A 21,787-nucleotide genomic window follows, 5' to 3' on the forward strand; every position below is an offset into this window, starting at 1 on the left:
GGACAACTTAGTTTAATTTCTTTTCTTTGGAGCAAATATTATTATAGTCAGCATGCAAGTGATATTTGATTATTTATTGGATCGTAATATGACCTAGATCTAACCTTTTCTTCATTTTACTCACCTGCATGAAGCAAAGTAAATAAAACATTATGTTCTTTAAAATGTTCTTATTTTACACAATAATTTCACTTCTAATAATTTATCTTAAGAAAAAGAATAAGAATATGAATAAGGACTTTTCAAGCTATGTTTAGAATAATATTATTAAATATAAAGAATACTCTTAGTAATCTAAACATCTAGCAAGAGAGAAATAGCTAAATAATTTGTAGCAATTTCGTAAGATGAAATAGAATGTATCTATTAAAAATATTGTTTTAAAACATATTTGATGTTATTAAAATTATATAATTTTAACTGCAATAATTGAGCTATGAAATTATTCTATGCACATAGTCCCTGAAGGTTATCTGGAATTTGATCAACAGTGTTTTGAATAATTCAAACATTTTTATCTCAAATAACCTCTCCCCTGCACACACACAGGCACAATGAAATATTACAACACAATCAGCAGAAACAGTATGGAGCTCTATGAGATGGAACAGTGATTGGTAAATGTGGGAAGTTGTAAACGTTGGGGTGAATATTTTTTGGGGGGTTGAACCATGTTTTTATTTTTCTCTATAAGAACTGCTTCATTTTTCAATTGGGTTGTTATGGTTTTTCTTAAAACTTAAAAAACTTTATGAGGAGAATATGCCTTTTGGCATATTTATTGTAGATCATTCCTCAATTTAGAATATATTTACTGACATAATAAACATGTAATTTTTCCATGCCTAAAGTTTAACTTTGATGTAGTCAATTTTATCAATAATTTTCTGGATGGTTTTGGTTTAGAGTGATTCTTAGAGCATGTTCTCCAATTAGTAATAACAGCTCATATTACTGACCTTGACTATAGGCCAGGAGGAACTGTGCAAAGGGCTTTACCTATGTGTAGGAGAGCACAGGTGACCTTGTACATACCCACCCAGGCCACATGCACTGAGGCTTGCACCACAACTTATGTGAGGCTTTGCAGGAATCCCTGTATCCTGAACACAAGAGGATAAGAGGCTTGTGAGGAGCTGTTCTCTGGCCCTCTCCCCATCACTGCCGTTTCTTCCCTGGGAGGCTGTCATGAAATGCTTTCTCATCACCTTTGGTGGCCTGAAGGTATGCACCATTCTTTTTCACCTTCTCAGGATATAGCTGCGCACCACACAACTGCTCAGCTGTAGCCAAGAATTGGCTCCTTCATGAGGAAGTATGCCACACCTTTGTGTGGCACTCATCGGCTCTTTTTGTTTTGGTGTCATCCTTTTTGGTATGTAGGATGAGGACCAGGGAGCTGGCACCTTTGGCTACTCTTCTTTTTGCTATATATGTAAGTAGTAGACAATCTAAATCTGAAAGTGCCTTCTTGTATCTTTACTAGCTGAGTCAATCAGCTCATATTAACTCATTTAATCCTAAAAATTAAATAGTGCTTTTTATACATGTGAGTAAACTGAGATACAAATGTTGCATAGGTCATCCTGCTAAGTGGTAGAACCCCAATTTAAACCAAGATAGTCTTACCATGGAGCCTGCACTCAACCCCTGCACTAAGCTGCCTTTTATGGTTATGCAAATATTGTAAAAAAGAAAGGAAATCCACGAGGCTATATCAAAGACAGATAATAGCAAGCATTGGCAAGGATGTGGAGAAGCTGGAATCTTCATACACTGTTTGGAGGAAGTTAAAATGGTGCAGCCACTTTGTAAAACAGCTAGGCTATTCCTCAGAAGAACTTGACAATTCCACTCCTAGGTATGTACCCAAAGGAAATGAAAATGTATGTTCACATGAAAATTTGTATGTGAATATTTATAGCAACATTATTCATAACAGCCTAAAGAGTGGACAACCTAAATGTTCATCAGCTGATAAATGGATAAATAAAATATAGTATATCCATGTAACAAAATATTATTCAGCCATAAAAAGAATAAAGTACTGACATGTGCTATGACAAGGATTGACGTTGAAAACACTATCCTTAAGTGAAAAAAGCCAGTGAAAAAAGACCCCATTTGTGTAACGCCATTAATATAAAATGTTCAAAACAGGCAAATTTACAGAAACAGAAAATAGGTAAGAGTTTGTCTAGGGCTTGGGAGAAGAGCTGTTAGGGGGAATGGAGGTTGACTGCTATGGGGTGTGGGAGGTTTTCTTAGAAAGATGAAAATGAAAGTGTGAAGTTGATTGTGGTGATGGTTGTACATTCTGTGAATATACTAAAAATAAATTGTACATTTTCAATGAATGAATTGTATGGTATGCGAATTATATCTCATAAAGCTGTTACAAAAAAGAAGTCTACGTGAGATTTAATACCTTAACATTTTTACTTTTTATATTTAAATATTATATCCATTTGGAATTTATTTTGATGTAAAATGTGATATAAGGAGTTTGCCTTTGTCTAGCCAGTTTTTCTTACATCATTTATTGAATAATACAGTTTTATTATGCAGATTTGAAATTCCACTTTTATTGTTTTGTAAACTACCAGACCTGTATATTGACTCAATGTTGTAGCTTGATGTGTTTGTCTATTCCTGTCAGTACCGTATGTTTCAATAACTATCATTTTCTGATATATTTAAACTTCTCTCTCTTTACTCTTTTTTCAGATTTATTGACTTTTTAAATATTTTCTTTTTAACATTTTCAAATTTTAAAAAATAATATTTAGTTTGCATCGAAAATACAGTTAGCATTTGTATTAGGTTCACACTGAATTAAGAGAATTAATAAACTATAAAATCTGCATTTATGCTCATTTTATTTATTCCAGTTTTCATTTATATCCCTTAGTAGAATTTTTTAATACTAAATTATCTTTGTTATTTCAGAGGCTTTGATGTATGACATCTTTTCTTCCATTAGTCTGATTCCATTTGTGTACAAAACAATGCTCCCTAATTTGGGTATTTTAATTTGATAAACAACCACTCTACTGAATTATCTTATTTCTTTTTTTTTTGAGATGCAGTCTCGCTCTGTCGCCCAGGCAGGAGTGCAGTGGCAGGATCTCGGCTCACTGCAAGCTCCGCCTCCCGGGTTCACGCCATTCTCCTGCCTCAGCCTCCGGAGTAGCTGGGACTACAGGCGCCCGCCACCACGCCTGGCTAATTTTTTGTATTTTTAGTAGAGACGGGGTTTCACCGTGTTAGCTAGGATGGTCTCGATCTCCTGACCTCATGATCCGCCCACCTCGGCCTCCCAAAGTGCTAGGATTACAGGCGTGAGCCACCGCGCCCGGCCTATCTTATTTCTTAATGTTTCTAGTTGTTTATTTTTAATTATAGTCAAACCATCTGCAAAAAATGGTATTTGATTATTCCTTTCCAATATTTGTGTTCTTATTTCTTCTCTTATTTATTTCCATTGGCCAGCAGTTTTATTTTTGTAGTGTGGTATCCTTGTCTTATCTCTCCCATTAATAAAAGTCTTTGTAGTACCATTGTATTCTCACTTCAGTTTTTGGGATGAGATATACAAGTTTTTAGTTACATCAGGGAAACATATTCCTATTTTTCTCTATCACTATTGTGGGTGTGGAGAGGCACAAAGGTACTTTTAACATATTGTTGAATTGTATCTGTATTTCTTTATTTGTGTTGATACTTACAGTGATATTTGCCTATAATTTTCCACTGTTGTGGAATCTTTTTTAATGTCTTTGTATGTCATATTGGCCAACACTTAGAAAATGATTTGAACTTACTTATTCCTTTATTCTTTCAGCAGAAATGACTTTACCACTTAGCATAAAGTTTAGCATAAAGTATGCCAAACTTTATTGTAGGTGCTAAGGATATGGACAGGAGTTAACAAAACAGTCATGCCCTCTCTTGCGGTTGAAATAGACAATTAACAATCAAATGTGTGCATATATATTTACATGTATATAGTCATGCATCTCTTAACGACAGGGACGTGTTCTGAGAAATGCATCATTAAGTGATTTTATCATTATGCGAACATCATAGAGTGTACTTATACACAAACCTAGATGGTCTGGGCTACTGTACACACCTAGGCTATATGGCATGGCCTATTGCTCCTAGGTCACAAACCTGCACAGCATATCGCTGTACTGAATACTGTAGGCAATTGTAACACAATGGTAAGTATTTGTGTATCTAAATTTATCGAAACATAGAAAAGAAACAGTAAAAATACAGTATAAAATATTAAAAGGTACACCTGTATAGAGCACTTACCATGAATGGAGCTTGCAGGACTGGAAGTTGCTCTGGGTGAGTAAGTGAGTGAGTGAGTGAATGTGAAGGCCTAGGACATGACCGTGCACGGCTGCAGTCTTCACAAACACTGTACACTTAGGCTATGCTAAATTTATAAAATATTTTTCTTTCTTTAATAAGAAATTAACCTTAGCTTATTGTAACTTTTTAACTTTATAAGCTTATTAATTTTTTCAACTTTTGATTCTTGTAATAACTTAAAACACAAACACATTGTACAGCTACACAAAAATATCTCCTTTCTTTATATCCTTATTCCATAAGCAGTTTATTTTTTAATTTTTTTTTTTTTTTTTTTTTTTTACTTTTTAAACATTGTTGTTAAAAACTAAGATGCAAACACACCCATTAGCTTAGGCCTACCCAGGGCCAGGATCATCAATGTCATTGTCTTCCACCTCCACATCCTGTCTCACTGGAAGGTCTCCAGGAGCAATAACAGGGATGGAGCTGTCATCTCCTAGGCTAACAATGCCTTCTTCTGGAACACTCTCTGAAGGACCTGCCTGAGGCTGTTTTTCAGTTAATTTTTTTTAAAAGAAAATTTTTTGAGATTTTGTGATTTTCCCCACAAAATTCCCTCTGTGATTTCCCCACCCTATCAGGGCTCCTTGAGACCCTTTTACCTGGCCCTCTGCTAAAAAGCGGAGGTTCTGACTTCTCCATGCTTTTGGAGTCTGCCAAACTGGGTCTACCTTGGGAGTAGAGAGGCTAGAGAATGGGGAGCAAGAAAAATAATGAGGATTGTTTTCTTCACTCTTTGGAACATAGGGTCCTCTGGTCAGAGGAAAGGGTTCTTTTCTCAGAGTTTTAGGTGACTGTATGGTGACAATGGTGTAAGAGTGCCCCTGATCATGACTGGGGTTTGCCTGGAGCCAGACAAGAGAGTTTTTATTGAAAATTTTAAAAAGTTTCCCTGCACACACCCTGCCATCTCTGTCCCACAGAGGTCCTTCTTTCTGACGTATGGCCAAAACAAGGAGGGTGGGGTTCTCTTGAATTTTGTCTGCTCATTACTACTGTGCCGTTCAGAGATTTGAGCTGCTCAGCCAGAGGATACCAGTGAACATAAATAACTGAAACAGGAAATTCACCACTGTATAGGTAATTCTTCTAGTGTTTATTTTGGTCCCCAATTTACTTGTTATTATTTATTTTCAGGGCCCTCAGATAGTTGCTCTGTGTATTCTACCTTGGGTTTTTATTTGTAATTAGTGGCATAGGTAGAAGCAGTGTGCTTAGTCCATTTTAGCCAGAACTAGAGCTGCACTGAGATGGACCCCACACTCATCCCCAGCCAATAACTTTTTATTGAAGAGGGTTTTTAAATTATTATTCTACTTTAAGTTCTTGGGTACATGTGCACAATGTGCAGGTTTGTTACATAGGTATACATGTGCCATGTTGGTTTTCTACACCCATCAACTCGTCATTTACATTAGGTATTTCTCCTAATGCTATCCCTCCCCTAGCCCCCAACCCATGACAGGCCCCAATGTGTGATGTTACCCTCCTTGTGTCCATGTGTTCTCATTCTTCAACTCCCACTTATGAGTGAAAACATGCGGTGTTTGGTTTTCTCTTGTGTTACTTTGCTGAGAATGATGGTTTCCAGTTTCATCCTTGTCCCTGCAAAGGACGTGAACTCATCCTTTTTTTATGGCTGCATAGTATTCCATGGTATATATGTGCCACATTTGCTTAATCCAGTCTATCATTGATGGGCATTTGGGTTGGTTCCAAGACTTTGCTATTGTGAACAGTGCTGCAATAAACATACATGTGCATGTGTCTTTATAGTAGAATGATTTATAATCCTTTAGGTATATACTCAGTAATGGGATTGGTGGGTCAAATGGTATTTCTAGTTCTAGATCCCGAGGAATCGCTGCACTGTCTTCCACAATGGTTGAAATAATTTACACTCCCACCAACAGTGTAAAAGCATTCCTATTTCTCCACATCCTCTCCAACATCTGTTGTTTCCTGACTTTTTAATGATCACCATTCTAACTGGCATGAGATGGTATCTCATTGTGGTTTTGATTTGCATTTCTAAAGAGATTATTTTATAACAAGAGGGCAGAATCATAGTGCCTTTTCAGTTGTTTCTGTTATACCTCATAGATGGTGTTGCTTGCTGGGCTATAACCTCCAGCAAGCAAGTACTCGTAGAGTGCCACACACAAAAATGCCATTTGGTAATGGCATTTTAATAAGAATCACATAATGGTCCTCTGTCAAGAGAGACATATCACTAGTTCGAGGCTCCTTCCATTTTTGTGTGGCCATGCATAAACTGCTTTCTAGTCTTCTATTTTCTCTATAGGTAACAAAGACATGGTTGTGTGGAAGAAGATGAGTAATTTCAAATAAAAAAGAAAAAATACCATTAACCTAATTTTTACACTATTTTTATTCAGTATGCTAATATGTTACCTGTAGATAAGTTGGAAATTTTTAATGGTAACCAAACTTTCAAAGGCAAAACTAAAATATGTAGCGCCATAAAAAATAGTAAGAAATTACTTCCATTATAATTCATCCATGAAAATTTGGAAACAGAATATCATTTTTGTATATATCTATTCTGAATGGATGTGTGCATACACTCGTTAATGCTAGGGTTGCAGCTTGTGAGCCTGAGGGCAAGAAAAAAATCTCAGATAAACAATAGAAATGAACAACCATACCTTTGGTGTGGAAAGTGGAGAATAAGAAGTTAATCAGAGAGGAGACAGAGAGTGAAGAAGCTAACTCAATTTTCTTTAGAAGCTGAAAAAAATATGAAGACTTTGGGAAAATTAGGTAAAAATAGCAGCATATGAGAACCAGAGATCAGAAATGAAAAATCAGCCTTAGCGACAACTTTCTTGAGATCAAGAGGAACTCAATCAAAACTTGCCATTATACCTGAGGTGGAATAAGAGTGGCGTTAGGTGACAAAGCTTTCTTAGAGATCTTTGGAGAGAAGGACCAATGGTAGGGAAAACATAGAATCATGAAAATATGCTGGCAATCTGAACCAGGTAAGTACTTTACCGTTCCTCTAGGCTCTGACTATGTAGAGTACAATAATGTTTTCTGCATGAGGTAAGTGGCCTAAGATGATGTTTCAACTCCAGACATACTACATATGGTATAGGGGTAGTGGGGTGGGAAAGATGGAGGAGGGAGCTGGGCTATAATCTTCAGCAAGCGAGTACTCAAAGGGTGGTGGCTGCAGAGGGGCAGGAAAAACAGAGGTCCTGGATTCCTTGTACCTGCACATCTTCCTTTAAAGTGTTTATGAATAACAGAACAGTAGTGGGAGATTATAAACACGTTCTACTTTCATCTTGCTTTTAAGTGTTACTTCTTGTTTTAAATTTAAAACTCTAGCATTAACTGGGAGAGGATGATCAGAGAACTCTGTGTGATTTTGGTTATAACACTATGCTTTTCAAATTATACACATTTTACAAGAAGATAAATGACTGAACATAGGCTATAGGTAGTCTTCCAAATATAACACTTTATTAACTATTACAGGAATGCTTTCCACTTTGATAATGGAATATTAAATAATGTAATTGTTAGTAATTATTAGTAACAATAGCTGTTAGTATTTAGAATTTGAGGTCTTATTAAAAGATTTTCTAAAAATGGAGGCTCTAAGAGATGAATCTGTAGCCATAAGCTAAAGCAAAAAGAGTACGATGGGATGGCCATATATTGGGAAATTCACGGTAAATTACTACCACACAAAGTAGTGCAACTAGGAAGATGCATTATTTTTTTCTATCAAAAATATGCTTTGTTCTGCATTGCAACATGGAATATCTCACTGTCAAGAAAACAAAGACCACTGGGTTTGTCCCAGCTGTGTACTTAACAAAGCCCCACAGCTGCTTTTTTAAAAGATCTTTTGTGGTAAACTATTTAGAAGGGGGTGAAGGAGAGAGAGAAAGAGAGAGAGATTTTTACAAAACATTCTGATTCATGCTCTCCCCAATCCTTTCTCCACCTCAGACAATCTTAGTCCATTATCAGAAGGTAAAGAAACCAAAGTTTTGCAACTAGAATTTTAATAAAGGTTGGGGACTTTTGAGTCCATCACTAAGGCAAAGATAGAGCCGGAAGAGAGGGAGCAGAAGTGAAGCACCTGAGCAGTTCTTCTCCTGGACTTCCTCCACATCCCTCCTCCCGCAAGTCAGAAACTTGGCTTGGCAGCACGGATAACTGTTAGAGCGGCCACTGTGACCCAGCCTGGTGGTGGAGGGGGGTGAGGTGGGGTCAAAAGAGCCCGCTCATGTGTCAGTGGGAATTGACACAGTGACCGCTGCCTCATTCCTATAATCTTGGCTACCAGAGATATCCCAGAATTTTTGGGCTATTCAAGGTTATTGACCACACAACATCCAAAGAGTAATAAAACAAAAAAAAACATAAATACCCTAAGAGTTTCAAAATGTTGATGAGAAGATCCATAGAAATGTTAGACAATTACCTTGTCGCTAACACTGGCATCGCTATATAGCTTTTAATGTAAACCAAAAGCAAGTAATATTCCAGAATATTCCAAATGGCCCTGACAGCTTGGTCCCCAACCCCACACCCCCCAAGAGAACCCTTTGAAGCAGGTTTCCTGTTGCTGCTCCTTTCGCTCCTTGACTAAACTGTGAAACATGAGCTCAGTGATTTCTGGTCCATGCTGTTTATTTCATGCTTTCACATTGGAAACAATAATTTCCTGACCCTCTCCTCTTTCATTCTTATGTGAGGGTGAATAAAATAAAGACTTTGGCAATCTTGGATCTCAATCTACCTCCAGAAGACCAACAGTACTAGATTTTATAAAATATGCAGGAGCTTTACCTCTGCTTTTTGCAAACAGCTTTGCTTGTTATCAATCTGTCCTATTGAAAAATGTGGCTGACATCATCTTTTGCCTTATATTTATGCTAGGCAGTACTTTCTTTGAAGGACCTAGAAACTTAATAGTCAGAACATGGGGATTTCAAATAAACCTGATTGTTTCCCCCACATACTGGTAGCTCCTTCTGGCCTGTATAGCACCCTACTGCACCTCCAGTAGAAAGTGGTCAAAATCTTGAAGACAGGTGCAACAAATCACAGAACCTCTCTCTTTTTGCTATGTAGGCAACTCTGTTTGGCAAATGGCAATGGCAGAGGAGTAAAAGTGGGAGAAAATGAAAGCAATGGCTGAAGAACGTCAAAAAAAAATTGTTCATGTCCTTCTGCTCCTCACTTTCCTTGACAATCAAAATGTGGGCTCATGTAACTTCTTTTTAATCTCAATAGCAATTGTATAATGCCTCAAGACAGAGTTTAAAATTCCTTTTTACATGAAGGAACTTAATTAACAGATATCCTACTCTCAGAGGAATCAAAAATATTAATACCATTCCAAATATTTTGTATGTTTATATTAGAATCTTATCCATAAAGTAATATGATAGCAAAATTCACAGAAAAATTACTTACAAACGTATGACTGAATTTATTTTAAAATGAGGCTTGTAAAAAATAGAATATTACTTATTTACCGAATTAGTTTGATTTCTTTCTAGATGGAGAAATTTGGAATGTGTTTCCTGCTTATATTTAAAATTGTGGAAGCTAAATAGAATTTTCTAAATTACTTACCAATGTGAGTTATCCATTTTTTATCATCAAAAACATTTTTGTTTTGCACAGTTTTTGTCTTGCATGATATAACTACCTAAGCTTTACATAGACTTTAAATTGGAAAGGTGACAGCAATGACTTATAAGATTGATTGAGCCATTATTTTACTCACAATTTATGTAACATTATGTATCCAGAATTTCAGGAAACTGCAGAGGAATCGGACATACATCCTTTCTTCAACAAACTAAGAGACTAGTAAAGGAGAAGACATTTACATAAATAACTTTGGTAGAAAATGAAAGAATACATGACTAGAAAAATGATACACACACTGTTATATTTGTGAAGGGCTCATAAGCAAATGGTTTCTTTTAAATGGTTTTCACATGTGATTTATTGAGGAAAGGCCACTTTAAAATAGAATTATATAATTGGAAAAGAAGAGTTAGTCATGTTCACTCCATAGGGAGGTAATTTGAAAGACTAAATCTTTTAAACCATATATAGAACCTCAATAACATATGTGCCCATCTAAAGTTTTATATGAAACCCATATCTATATTTTATAAACAACTCTAAAACTTACAAATAAAATTCCTCAAAGAAGAGTTTCAACAAAATATACCTTTTAGATAGCTATAAGAAAAAAATCGTATTAATTTGAATAGATATATATTATAGGAGAGAAGGTTCTTTTATTGCAAAACACTTAGGATAAAGAAAGACTTCATATGGGAGCAATAGTTTCAGTGAGTGGTAAAATTGTGTACAATCTAAGCATAAAAAGATAGAGAAAGGTAGTCCTGAAGAACGTAAACAGCAAAGACATGATGCAAGGAAGTATGGGCATGTGTGGAAATGCTGTATATGTGTGTTTGTACCTGAAGGGGAATATGATAGATTCAGTATGAAGGTTGAGATCACATTGTAGAAGGGGTATACTATTCCTGGGATGGCAGTGGTAAACCATTAAAGTGTTTGCACAGATGAGTACATGATATTGGAGTTGTTCCTTAGGGAATAGTAAACTAACTGCAGTATTTTAAATGCAGGAGAGTGTGGGGACTTATGAAAACGTTACTATACTAGTCCAGGTGGAGACTGATGATTAAACATTGAGTGACTAAATAAAAGTCATAGCAGTAGGAAGAGAAAGAAATGGATGATTACATGACTGTATCCTAGTGACAAAAGTACATGAGACCATAAGAAAAACTTTACCTCCTCCACTTATTTTCCCTAGAAATACAAAAACGATCCTTGTTTTGGAAGACTTTTGAACAAATACTGAGCCATCTCGAATGATGGACCAAGTGAATCTTGAAAACAGCTCTCATTATCATACCACATTGATTTGAGTTTCTTCTTGTTCTTGCAGAAAAAGTTCAAAGTCATGTACTCAGAGTACTTTCAACAGTATTGTGCAAGTGTCGAGTTGACTAAATGCACATATTTCCATCTGATGTCAAACATGCTGCCAAACCTTAATTTTACAATGAGACTACAGTTTGCCAAACAGAAAATCAGAGCACCACAGCTCCTCTGAATTCCAGGGTGCCAGTTGAACTGTGGACACATACTTGTCCTAGTGCTAGAATTAAGGAGTGCTCCACTAGGGCCATTTGGTTCACAGGATGAATAAGCCTGTTTATGTGACCTGATATCTTTATGGCAGTGATTTACTTCACTGTCTCTTCAAATTAAGTTTCAGGGAACCTACTTTTCTTTATGTCAGTTGTTCTTGCTGAAGTCTAAATAAAGGAAATTTAACCTAATCAAACTATAGACTGAAAATAAACAAGAAAGGGGAAAAGCAAGCAGCCTATGTTACTGGAATTCCAAGGGCTCTTTTAGTTTGGCCAACACTACTTCTATTAGGGAGCCTCCAGTGGGATCATTGGTAAATGTATAAACAAAAGCCAAGTACTATCAAGTAATTGTCTGGAAATATCAGAATATTTCCATCTTATTTAGGAAGAAAGCACTCACTGGTGTCAGTGAGCATAACAGAACAGTGAGGAAATTCACATTGGCATGGAATGGCTTTTCCCCATTAAGCCATAAAGAGCAGGCTGAGTTATGTTCATGCCTTGCCAAACACGTTTCAGCTGAAGTCAAGAAAGTGGAAAGTCCTTGGGTATTTCATTGTTTAATGAAGAACACCAGATATATAGAGAGACATGCAAAAGGCAGGAATTTATTGACTGACAAACACGCTCAAATGGAAATAGGGAACCAGAGGACTGGCCAGAGAATAGATTTTCCTGTAATAGTTTGCAACTGAAAGTTCCTGGAAAAGACCACCCTCCCAGAGAATGGAGAGCTACTCATGTGTGCATGGCAGAGGTAATCTGAATAGCCCAAATTTTCAAACCAGACGATTTAGGGAATTATATGACTGGAATTTTAAAGCCTGCGATTCTACTCCTTATATCACAAAGCCGTGTATTTCTTATCCTGTAATCTTTTATGTATGAAGTTCCACAAAAAATGTTTAATGAAAATTGTTCTTTTTTTAACTTTTGAGATCTTCTCATTAATTTGAAGTAACTGGGAGGTTTGTGAATTATCAAATTGTCTGCATCATAGAATGTTTCTAAACCAGTTATCATATAGAAAGAAAGAGAGACAGAGAGAGAATCCGTCACTTGAGGGAAGAAAAAAGAGAACTAATTTAGCAGTATTTTTCAAATATAATTAATTTACATCTCAGAGTAGTCCATTGTGGTTGACATTTTTTCACCCCATTTTGTATATGGGAAAGAGAGACTGAGAGGGTTAAATAAATCATCCAAGGTCACACAGATAGAAGAAGCTCAAAAGTGAGCTATTTTTCACTTAGAGATCTCTGACTCTTCTGGACCCCTAGTGTTCCCCACCACAAGGTCAGCATGCCAAAAGCTGATAAGAAAAGCTTATCAATTCAAATTAGCCTAATGATTGGATGTGATTTATTTCTCACTGTTATTCCAATGGTTATATGCAAGTAGACAGCATGATTCACAATTTATGTTATTCTGTGTTTGAAGATATCTTTTCCAGTCCTGTCACAGCTTAGCTTTGTGACCTTAGTCAAGTTACTTAATCTCTCTGAGATTCACTTTCTGCACGTGTGAAATGGAGGCAATAAAATCGACCTCATGGATGATTATATTCAGTGAGCTAATCTACGTAAACACTAAGCATGGTGTCTGTCATATAGTGATGATCAGCCAAGGCCAGTGATTATAACCAACTAGGTTATACGACCTTAACAAACAGCCACCAAAATATCAGAGTTTAATTTATCATTGACTTTGATATCAATCATTGGTCAGCTAAGCTCTAAATTCAGCTTACTCAAGGTCCCAAGATGAAGGAAACTTCATTTCAGTATGACACGTGCTTCCTTGGTCAGTAAGGGAAATAAAAATAATGACTCATACACTGGTTCTTAAAACTTTCACCTGAAAATGAAACATGGTACTTCTGCTCACATTTCACTAGTCAAAGAAGGTTGTATGTCTCTACCAAATTCACAGGGGGTCAATGTGCCCAGAGCCAGTCACCATAATGATTTAAAATGATTTATACCATTAGCTTGCAAAAAGGAATGCAAACCTAAATCCTCTTTAGTAAGCATTATTTAGTCAAATCATTATTAATGAAATCCTATCATCTTAGCAAATACAAAATCTCTTACTATCCAGATTTATTCATTTCCAAGTTCAATTACCAAAGGATTAGAACTGAAAAATCAGTACGGGAAATCAAAAGAGACACTGCCCTAAACTGAAGACATTCTTTCTCCTACGTACTCTTCATGCAGATATCCCAGGTATAAGAATTTTTCTATATTTCCCTCTCTCTCTCTCTCTCTCTACCTCTTCCATTGCTATCTCTTCCCTCTTCTTCTCTCCCCTTGCATACATTATACATACATATGTGTGTGCATATATATATACATTTTTTCATTTTTTAATTGTTCAAAAGCTGGAGATATAATGCCCCATTACCTCTAAGTATTTTAGTATACATTTTTACACACACAAAAGCATGCTGTTATATAATTAAAGTATAATCATAAACATGAGGAAATCAACACCAATAAAATAATACCATCCAGTTCATAGGCCCCATTCAGATTGTGTGGATTGCATCAATAGTATTATTTATAAGCTCTTTCCCTTCTGGTTCAGGATCCAGTCATTTAGTTGTCGCATCCCTTTAACCTCGTAAATTGTAACAGTTCCTCAGGGTTTTATTTTTTCCCTGAATTTCATGATCTGAACATTTTTTGAGGCATATAGATGAGTTACTTTGTAGAACATTCCTCATTTGGGGTTTGTTTGATATTTTCTAGATTCAGGTTATGCATTTTTTGGCAGGAGCACCCCAGAAAATCCTGTATTCTTCTCATTATATTATTTCAATAGATGCATGTGATGTTGGTTTTATGCTTGGTTAGCCAAGTGTCTGCCAGATTTCTACAATTTAAGAATAATTAATGATGTTTTTGCATTTCAAATATTTTAATAAGTACTTAAGGAAAAGATACTTTATAACTATTTAATTATTCTACTACCTATCAAACACTCACAAGAGGGTTTGAGTATGTTTTCATAATTTTTGTCTGAATCAGTTGTTACCATGAGGTAGCCAAAGCCAGTCATTTTTAAAATCAATCATTTCTTATTAGTTGGCATACTACCTTCAGATAGAGTTTTTTCCTTCACTTATTCATTCTTTCACTCAGATCAGCATGTACTTACAGATTCCAGTTTTCCAATTGGTTATAATCCTTTACTATCATACTTTTTACAATGCTAATTTATTTCTAGATTTGGCTAATAAAAGCACCCCTAAGCTGGTTTCTTGGTATTTCCACATCATTCTTTAAGCAATTCCTATTTTTTTCACACAAAAAGGTGTTCAAGGTTCTTGTACATTTTTTTTTTTGCTCTGAATCTGAGATCAGTTGTTTCTCCAGGAGTCCCTGTTTCCTTTTGTGGCGAAATAATATTTACAAAACAACATCTGGCTTCTCAGTGTGCTCATTGCTACTGTGGTGTCATTGCTTTCTAGTCTGTCTCAGAGAATAGAGGATAGAACCAGGAAACACACTCCACACACACACACACACACACACACACACACACACACATATCCACATACACACTTACAAATTTACTCACCTGTGCATCTTTTTCTATATCCACTTATCTATATATATATATAATAAAAATTGTGAATTCACACCAATACCGTCAATTCCAGCTGAACCTCAAAGAGTCTATCCTGTTTCCTTCACCTCACTTCTTCTTATATATTGTACACCAGTGTCCATTGTTCCTGCCCCAGGTCCCTGAGGTGCCTGAAGACTGTGTTTTTATCATAAAACAATTTGCAAATTATAGTAAGAATTGAAATATTTCTTTCATGGTATGGTCTAACTTTATTCGCAACAAAAACAAGTAATATATTTATGGAATAACCACTGAGCTGGAGATGGCAGAAGACTTTCAGGTATAAATAACGATTTGTGTGCCTATAAATTTACAAAATAGCACAGGAAATAGTTTCTTAGTAAAATTTTTGGTCCTTTTGTTCCAGAATTACACATAATAAGGTCTACATTAAAATGTGGAGAATACATGAAGTTCTCTTATTAGCATTGAATTGATTTCACTAATTTTTTATATATGTATATATGTAAAAAAAAATCTACAATGGGACTTTTGATTCCAGCCAAGATGGAGTAGACTTCACTCCTCCCAGGTTCTCTCTTGAAAAATTATAAAAACTCCAGATATACTACAACAAACAAGTATAGAAAGACATTGAAAAGTGAAAAGACAATAGACTGCCTAGGGACCTCAGGACTTGAGGAGCAACACAGTGGTGAGTCACCTCAGTTTTCCTAATTGCCTCCTATATATCCTAGACAGAACACTGCAGAAGCCTTCAACTGCAAACTGCCAACAGACACTCAAAACAACACACAAGATTTCTAGAGTATTCTATTCCCTCTCGCCAAGGCGTAAGGAAAAGGTGACCTATCAACAGAAAACATTTTTGGCCCAACTACATCCAACCATTAACAGAAAATCCTTCTTCAATCCCCATGGTTTCAGTGGAAATGAGCAAGGAAGTAATCTTCCACTTTACCCCTCCACCCTGTGAAAACAAGCAGTGATGCACCCTTTCCTCCACTGGGTGATACCACTCTTTCTATGTAGGGACCTGAACCTCTGCCCCCACTCAACATGAAGACTGGAAAACGTGTTGCAAGTCAGGACTAGTTAACGTTCCTGGCGTCAGCAGACTCAGGAGGGAGCTGAACACCTGTGTGTATCCAGCAGCAAGAAGACTGAATGAAGAGGTACAGTACCATACTACTCCACTTTCCCCCACCATGGTGTCAGCAGGGGATGGTGGGAAGCTGAGCCTTCATCTTCATCAGGTATCAATAAGGCAGAACGAAGTGGTGGGAGGCAGGATCAGTTAGCACTCCACTTACCACTGGTGTGATCAGAAACTAGTGGTGAGCTAAATTTCTAACCCACTTCTGCAGCAAAAAAGGGGTAAAGCTAAGTATAAATATCCATCTGACTCTCACATTCACACTACACATCAACAGGGCAATTGCTTCAAAAAAAAAAAAAAAGGATAAATAGAATCCTTAGTTTCATAATCTAATACCCAAAATGTCCAGCATACAGTAAGAAACTCACAGGAAAATTACAACTTGAGTGAGAAAAGACAACAGACAGCAGCACCCAAGTGAATCAGATGTTGGAAATAAGTGATAAGGATTTTAAAGCAGTAATTACAAAAATATTTCATGTGGCAATGACAAATTCCCCTGACACAAATTTAAGAAACAAAAAGTCTGAGTGGACAAACAACAGTTATACAAAAAGAACCAAATGGAAATTATAGAACTAAAAAATATAACAATAATACAACCTGATGATTGGGTTTAATCACAGAATGGAGATGACAGATCGAATCAATGAATTTGAAAACAGATCTATAGAATTTTTCCACTCTTAACTATACAGAGAAAATAGACTGAGAAAAAATTAACAGAATATCAAGAACCTGTGAACAATACCAAAAGATCTAGCATGCATATTATCAAAGGCCCAGAAGGAGATTTAAAAAAAGAACATTATTGAAAAAGTATTCCATGAAATGATGACTGAAAAGTTCTCAAATTTGCAGAGTAGAGTTTTGCAGTCCTTGGGTTTTCAGAAATTAAGTATAGTCTACTTACTAAGGGCTTTGAAGGCTCTTGGTCTTGTTTAACCTAAATTTCTAGAAGATAAGCAGGGTAAGTAGGGAGATTGGTAGGAGGAAGATGGCGAGGATGGTAAGCCGGGGGAGAAGTAGTATGGGCTTTGTGTTTTCAAACTGTCACTTTATTTTTACATTATTGGATATGGGGAATAATGTGACTGAAGTAGAATAGATTAGGCATATATAAAAGTATAGGTTGAGTAGGGTTATAATATCTATAATAGTGGGAATGACAAGGTTGTTATTTTTTTGTAAATTCTTGAATGATAATTCATTTAGGTAGAAAACTGGTTAATGCTGGTAGGCACTTCAGGATTTACACTTCAGGAAATTTAGCTAACTTCAAATAGGACAAATTTAGACAAATATGCCAAGATACGTCACAATTAAATTTTCAAAATGTAAAAACAAAGAAAAACCTTGAAAGCACCCAGAGAGAAACAACATGTTACCTATTACAGAACAAAAGACAACAGATTTCTCATCTAAAACCATGGAGGCCAAAAGGAAGGGGTACAATATCTTTCAAGTACAAAAAGAGAAACATTGTCAGCTAAGACTTCTACATCAGGAGAAAATATCCTTCAGGAATGAGGAAAAATCAAAATATTCTAAGAAGAAAAACCAAGGTAATGTATTTCTAATACGCCTACCCTAAAATAGCTAATGTAAGTTCTTTGAACAGGCAGTAATGGCTATTGTGGACCATTGCTTCTTTTTGCCCTGTAGAAAGATTCATTGGAAGAATAATATACATACATTTTGTATTGAACAATGATGTTATTTGGAAATCCTGGCTAAGATTTTTTTGGGATCAATGCTGAACATTTCAAAGGATGTTACAACAAGCTGGAAAGTATGAGTTGTGGGTCTAGTCCTGGTTTCCCACTGCTGGTCTGTTACAGAAATGTGGTCCTACTGTGGAGCCTCAGCATAAATACTCACAGAAGGAGATCCAAAGACAGATGACAGAGCCTCTCAGTATTTGACTCCATCCTTGAGTTGATATGGCACCAGGTAGAAATCTTCTCTAATTTCCCCCAACAAGAGAAGGAATATTACTTAGAAATATATCTTGGAGTATTCTTCTAGACAGAACGTCAGTGATCTGAGATCTTCTGAAGCTCAGTCCAGGACTATTCTCCTGGCAAGAAAAGGAGAGTTTGATCCATCAATTTTGTTCAAAAAGTTCAGAGGTGAGGGTGGAGGAATAGTAGTTTGGGGTGTGGAGGAATAGTAGTTTGGGGTGTGGAGGTGTGATTAAGGGGAAAAAATAACTTTTCCATTATTCTTCTGTCTGAATATTCAAAGTCTGGAACACATCAAAAGCAGTTAAAAATAAAATGGATTGTTATACTTATCTGTCATCCCAATGCAGTTTCCATGTTATTTAAAATAGCAAGTTATCTTTGGGTGACATTAGCCTTAGTGATGTGAATTGCAGTTTTCTTTATGATGTCAGGGCTTAACTATTTAGTAAGTAGGAGGAAAACTATCTAACAGAATGCACCTTAATAGGAAGAAAATCAGTTGAACTGAATAAACTAACGTTTACATTCCCTCCGTCTCTATTTTTCATCTAATATCACCCCCATGCTATTAGAGCCTCAGCCAAAAATTGGGTTTTATTCTTTCTGGCCCCATGATTTCCTTTCAGTAAGAAATGTTCAGACTAAGACACATTAATAAGTGCAAATAAATTTAGCTAGCATTTGCTTGGCTGATTCTCAAAGAGGATCAAGAAAGGAAATGGAGAACACCGATGATAAACTATTCAACAGAGCATTTTGAAATTGGCAATGTTGCAAGAACAGTATTTTATGGTGGTTCAGATACATAATATGTTTTATAGAATGTTCAGAAAAAAATAAAATGATCAAACCGCACCCTTTTAGGTATAGATGGAATGGCAAGGGATTTATTTGATACACAGTAAATATTTGAAAATGATTTCAATTTATTTCAGGAAGAGTGCAGATAAGATTTGTTGAGGAAAAGATCTTTATAAGGCACATTAAAATATTTGGAGTTAGATTAGATTTCATTTGTGATGTAAGAAAAAAATACATAATATCTTTTTCATATTTAAAGGAGTTATTTAATATCAGTAGGTCGACGGCTGCTCTAGTGTCTCACAATTGTCAAACTTGTATTATGCATGGGGATTACAAGTGCTTTATTAAATGACTTGTTAATATTATCCTCCCTCAAAAAGGATTTGTAGTAAGAAACGACTGCCACTACAAGTGAACTAGAAGACACGAGTCCTGAAATTCTGCTACTCATTAGTACGACGAGGCTTGCATTAGAATAAGCACACTAAGAAAAAGTAACAAATTCCAATTTCATATTTCTCATCCATGTGGAAAAAATAAAATATAAGCCTGAATTTCAAATGTGTTTGGTGGAGGGATGTTTTAGAATGACCAGTATTTTTATTTGTTTTATTTTTAATTTGATATGGCTTTTCCACTTTGTTTTGTTCTGTTTAAATTCCTTAGGTCTTCTGCCACTCACAATACTAGAGTCCTAAATAAGCTAACTGACATGATTTCCAGGTTGCCCAAATAGGGAAATAGTGAGATGCTTAAATAATTCGATTAGTGTAGTTTATTTTCCATATCAAGTAACTTAGGTCAAGTTAAGGAAATTTCACAAGCATGAACTACTAGAATTTTAGAGGAAGTGAATGCAGTGAACCACCAAATCTCAAGGGTCTGTTTTAACCTCAGAAGTAATTCTATCTTGATAATTAATCAGTGACATAGTTAAGAATTCAAAAGAAAATAGCCTATTTTGCCAAGAGTGTCTGTAGATGTTTAAATTCAAATAAACAGAAATAGCAAATGACCCAAAGACAGTAGTCTTCAAGAGCTTCTTTGGAATTCACAAAAATATTTCCTTTAAACAGTGCTGTATTTAGACTAGCCATTTCACCTTGGAATATGAGTTAATGAAGAAATGATGAGTTTAATTGTTCTCCTGGTTTAGCTGAGTCCTTTGGATTTTATGAACTAGAAAGAAACAATGTGACGTGGTACTGGACCCAAAGGTTTACTCTTTTCTCTGTTTAATGTGACTCAGCCTGTTTTCAGGAAGAGTAATCTTGGATATGGAAAGCCTATCTTCAGGTCAGGTATTGTGAGCTACTCGCTTCATGACTTTACAAGTCTTTTAACATATTCTGTTTTCTTTTTATAACATTAAAGTGAACTAAATTATTACCATCCCAGTTATACACATTGGTCAAACATGGCCCAGCAGTGCCATATGGTCATTTTTCACACTTGCAAATGAAAAACTCATTGTTAATAGATCAATATCATGACCAAATCAATGGCCTTGAGGTCTTAGAAGAAAATTACAGGCTATGGAGTGGGTTGCCCTTGGGGTTTGAATAATGTACTCTATGGAATTACTAATTGTGTGGGGAATATTTGCTGAATGAAGTAATGAATGAACAGCTCTTGTCCACAGAAATAAATCCACAGAAGTAAGTCCACAGAAGATGCCAGAGTTGCAAGGAAAGCTACTCACCTGAAGGTCAATGTCTTTTTTACACAAGATGCCAATTAGAAGTGAACTTGTGTTTCCAATATTAGAGAACTTTATATAAGTTATGGCATTATCTCCTTAAGATCCTATTAACATAGATATTAGAGATAATAGACTTAGTTTATTTCTTACTCATGCTTACTTTTTTAATATTGCAAACAGGAAAAAGTGAATGAGGTATTACAAGGGATCAACCATTCCAATGCCTGGGTCTTGATAACTTAGATTGTATGTTCAAGTGGATTCTTAAAGGTCATACAAGAGCTACATAGGATTTCTTATTTCTCTTAAAACAACCTTTTTTTCATAGAAAATTGTTAGCTTTAAATACTATCCATACACCAGTCAACACTTGTGTGCAAAGAATCCAAAATGAATGTAATTATGCTCTGATTTTATCATTCTTACTAATGGAATACTAAGGAAATCTGTTAAGTAGGAAGATTTAGTAAAAGATTTCACAGTATGAGAGCTACAGTAAAGCTGACTTTTTAAATGTGAAGAAACTATTCCAGTAGATGACTAAAAATAAGCAGAAAAGTCTTAGTACACTCTATTCTGCCAGCTCTGCAAAATAGCATACTATTCTGGCTTGGAGTCTAAAAAAAAAACTGGGTTATTCTTAAAGAACATAAACTTTGGAAAAGTTGAAATTCAATATAATTTAGTTCAAAATACTTAAATACATACTATATTTATATTTATGTACATCTAGTTTCATAGTTTGGTCCTATTGCTTATTGTCTGTGACAGCAATCAGTTTGGCAAAGCCTTGAGAACATTTTTGCTAATAACTTACTTTTTTCCTCTCTCTGTATCACAAGATTTCATTATGTCACAAACCAGGTTAAGTTCAGAGTACATGGTGTAGAAATCAATTATCTGATACCCTTTAGTGAGCAATATTTTGAGCAGCCCATATTTCCTATTATATAGCCTTAGTATCTGAGAT

At 35.7% G+C, this 21,787-nt stretch overlaps 1 long non-coding RNA gene across 1 annotated transcript in view, besides 1 other annotated feature; it reads right to left on the minus strand.

Annotated features, from left to right (window-relative positions):
- LINC01592 (long intergenic non-protein coding RNA 1592) overlaps positions 1-18,418 on the minus strand; it is a 192,388-nt gene extending 173,970 nt beyond the window's left edge. Inside the window, exon 1 of the long non-coding RNA NR_039986.1 lies at positions 18,226-18,418. This is a non-coding gene — a long non-coding RNA (long intergenic non-protein coding RNA 1592). The remainder of the gene's footprint in view (positions 1-18,225) is intronic.
- Positions 11,146-11,315: an enhancer, noted in NCBI's record as "experimental_103601 CRE fragment used in MPRA reporter constructs". NCBI's record gives its function as "activates a minimal promoter by MPRAs in K562 erythroleukemia cells, with activity observed for the introgressed 8:70009238 variant allele {active_cell/tissue: K562}" and the evidence as "EXISTENCE:reporter gene assay evidence [ECO:0000049][PMID:34662402]".
- Positions 18,419-21,787: the final 3,369 nt, after the last annotated feature.

The sequence above is a fragment of the Homo sapiens genome, chromosome 8, assembly GCF_000001405.40.
Source record: "Homo sapiens chromosome 8, GRCh38.p14 Primary Assembly".
Lineage (NCBI taxonomy): Eukaryota > Metazoa > Chordata > Mammalia > Primates > Hominidae > Homo > Homo sapiens.